This window comes from Homo sapiens, chromosome 18 (genome assembly GCF_000001405.40).
Source record: "Homo sapiens chromosome 18, GRCh38.p14 Primary Assembly".
In the NCBI taxonomy this organism is placed as follows: Eukaryota; Metazoa; Chordata; class Mammalia; order Primates; family Hominidae; genus Homo; species Homo sapiens.
In genome coordinates, this window is record NC_000018.10 from 53,971,262 (window position 1) to 53,975,062 (window position 3,801).

The window sequence follows — 3,801 nt, forward strand, 5'->3', positions numbered from 1 at the left end:
AACTAAAGAGTTGGCTTCGGGGTTTTTAGTTTTTGTTTTGCACTGCACAGTTGTTTGGGAGACAGTAGATATTAACTAAAAATATTTTGGTATCAGAGTATGTAGTAAAGAATGACCCTGACCAAAGAAGAGATAGGGCCTTTGTCCTGGACTTCTGGGAGGTAATTTCTGAGCCCTTGGAATGTTATGCCTCATATGAGTGTCTTTGTTTGCCTGGGAACACTGAGTCATCCTAGATGCTCCAACTGTATGACTTAGGGTGAGGGCTGGCTACACCCATGAGGTCTTAGAGCGGGGCCTGGTCACACCAGAAAGACCAACAATGTAACAGGGTGGTTGCTTTCTATATACTGTATCAGGTGACCTGGAGGCTGAAGTCAACTACATGGACAATCAATCATGCCTATGCAATGGAGTCCCAATAAAAAGTCTGAACACTGAGGTTCAGTGAGCTTCCCTAGTTGGCAATACCCCATATGTATTATCCCACATAGATGCTGGGAGGTGATGTACCATCAGTAGAAGGTAACAGGAACTCATTTGGTACTCTCACAGACTCTGCTCTATGTATCTCTTCACTGGGCTGATTTTAATCTGTATCCTTTTTTCTGTGGTAAACCATAACCGTGACTATAACAGCTTTCTGTGAGTTTTTCTAGTGAATTATCAAATTGGAGAATGATTGCTGAGAACCCCTCCAACTTGCATTTGGTGTCTAAAGTAAGGGCAGTCCAGGGGGCGGCATCCTGTAAGCTTTGTAGTTGGCCCAAACTTCTCATACAGGGCACGGTCTGAGTTTGCTAGTGTTCTACCAGCCATTTTTAATAGAAAGTCAGGCAAGGTTAGAGATTGTTTATATCACTGTTTTATTAATATGTATCTGCCCTTCCATCCTTTGTCACAGACATGCTTTACAACATCATTAAAATTATATATTCCATGTCAACTGGGCCCCTGTCATTTATACAAACACAAAAGCAAAGAAAAAAGTTTGAAAACTGAGTCCTTCTACAGCTCCCAAGGTCCCTATTGTCTGATCATGCCATCTTTACCCAACTCCTTTGCCTCCTTGACCTTGATTTTAAGCAGACTCCTTCCTGCCTCACCACATTCTTTGTTCAGGCCTCTGTGACTTAATGCATGCAACTCCCTTCCCCATCAACTCCTTCCATCCCCTCCTTCCTGTTTAATGTCACCATGTTTCAGAGAAAGAAATTAAGTCATTGCTTCTCCATTATGTAGCCATCATTTATGGCAATAACCTCACAAGGTTGATAAGGCTTTCAGTGAAGTAATATTTATAAAGGAGAACATTACTTGACACATAGTAGGTACAATGTTAGCCTTAGCTACTGTTAATATTACTATTACTCCTATTGCTATTGCATGACAGTCATTTTTGACCCCATTTTATAGTGTCTATGACAATTAAGCTTTCAATTGCATCTATAATTGTTATTCTCTATTCTATACCCATTACCTTCTGGATTATTGTGCCGTTAGGGCAAAATCCATGTCTGTTATTTTCCTTTGCTGATAGAGATTTCAGGTACAAAGTGCGTGCTGAATCTTTTTGGCCTACTGATAGATTCTGAGAATATTGGAATGATAGCACATAATCTACCCATGTTAATGAGGGACACAATATTTGAACCCCTACAATATGTCAGTGTGTATCATTTATTCTCCAGGGTCCTGGGTTTTAGAGTTTTATAAAGATTTCAGATTTACAGCCATGACAATTTGTTACTAGAAAATATGAAAGAAACTATAGACACTGGGCTCTCTGCTTCATGTTCAATTTGCTCATAAAAGATATACTAGTATTCATCAATACCAACTTCTCCTATACTTGTAATCACAGGAAAGACAGTACTTCCCAGTATTTGAAAACTGTTTTGTGACCCCTTGCTTTCTTCTGTTTCTCTTGAGGATTGGTGACATTGCAAATAGTGGAGTCTTTCAGTCTAGGTCCTAGAGCAAAGCCCAAGTCAACTTGCATTGGACATGAGAGAGAAACTACTGTGGTATGGAGTGACTAATATTTATGGATTAATTTGTCATGGCACAGTACATAATCTCTTCTGGTTGGTACTCTAAGCAAATAGGAAGAAAAAAGCAGTTCAAAATACTTGTATCATTTTATTAACACTGCCTTCTTGTACCACAATTTTTTTAAAAAACCACTTCAGTTATGATTGACAAAAAGCTGTACATGTTTAATGTATACAACATTAGTTTGCAAATGCAATCATAAAATCATCACCATAATCAATGCCATAAACATATACATCAACTCCAAAAGTTTCATCTTACCCTCCTGACTTTGTGATAAGAGCATTTAACATAAAAATTTGCTAAGAGGGTAGATACTAAGTGTACAAGTATTGTCAACTATAGTCACTATGCAGTATAGAAATTTCTTTTTGGTTTTCTTTTTTCATTTTACAATGGATTTAATTATTTCTAATCAAATAATGGATTTGATTATTTGCAATGGATGTGATTTTTTATATTTTATTATACTTTAAGTTCTAGGGTACATGTGCACAACATGCAGGTTTGTTACATAGGTATACATGTGCCATGTTGGTGTGCTGCACCCAGCAACTCGTCATTTACATTAAGTATATCTCCTAATGCTATCCCTCCCCCCTCCCCCCACCGCACAACAGGCCCCACTGTGTGATGTTCCCCTTCCTGTGTCCAAGTATTCTCATTGTTCAATTCCCACCTATGAGAACATGCGGTGTTTGGTTTTTTGTCCTTGCGATAGTTTGCTGAGAATGATGGTTTCCAACTTCATCCATGTCCCTACAAAGGACATGAACTCATCCTTTTGGATGGCTGCATAGTATTCCATGGTATATATGTGACACATTTTCTTAATCCAGTCTATCATTGTTGGATATTTGGGTTAGTTCCAAGTCTTTGCTATTGTGAGTAGCGCTGCAATAAACATACGTGTGCATGTGTCTTTATGGCAGCATGATTTATAATCCTTTGGGTATATACCTAGTAATAGGATGGCTGGGTCAAATGGTATTTCTAGTTCTAGATCCCTGAGGAATCACCACACTGTCATCCACAATGGTTGAACTAGTTTACAGTCCCACCAACAGTGTAAAACTGTTCCTATATCTCCACATCCTCTCCAGCACCTGTTGTTTCCTGACATTTTAATGATCGCCATTCTAACTGGTGTGAGATGATATCTCATTCTGGTTCTTATTTGCATTTCTCTGATGGCCAGTAATGGTGAGCATTTTTTCATGTGTCTGTTGGCTGCATAAATGTCATCTTTTGAGAAGTGTCTGTTCATATCCTTTGCCCACTTGTTGATGGGGTTGTTTTTTCCTGGTAAATTTGTTTGAGTTCTTTGTAGATTCTGGATATTAGCCCTTTGTCAGATGAGTAGATTGCAAAAATTTTCTCCCATTCTGTAGGTTGCCTGTTCACTCTGATGGTAGTTTCTATTGCTATGCAGAAGCTCTTTAGTTTAATTAGATCCCATTTGTTAATTTTGGCTTTTGTTGCCATTGCTTTTGGTGTTTTAGACATGAAGTCCTTGCCCATGCCTATGTCCTAAATGGTATTGCCTAGGTTTTCTTCTAGGGTTTTTATGGTTTTAGGTCTAACATTTAAGTCTTTAATACATCTTGAATTAATTTTTGTATAAGGTGTAAGGAAGGGATCCAGTTTCAGCTTTCTACATATAGCTAGCCAGTTTTCCCAGCACCATTTGTTAAATAGGAAATCCTTTCACCATTTCTTGTTTTTGTCAGGTTTGTCAAAGATCAG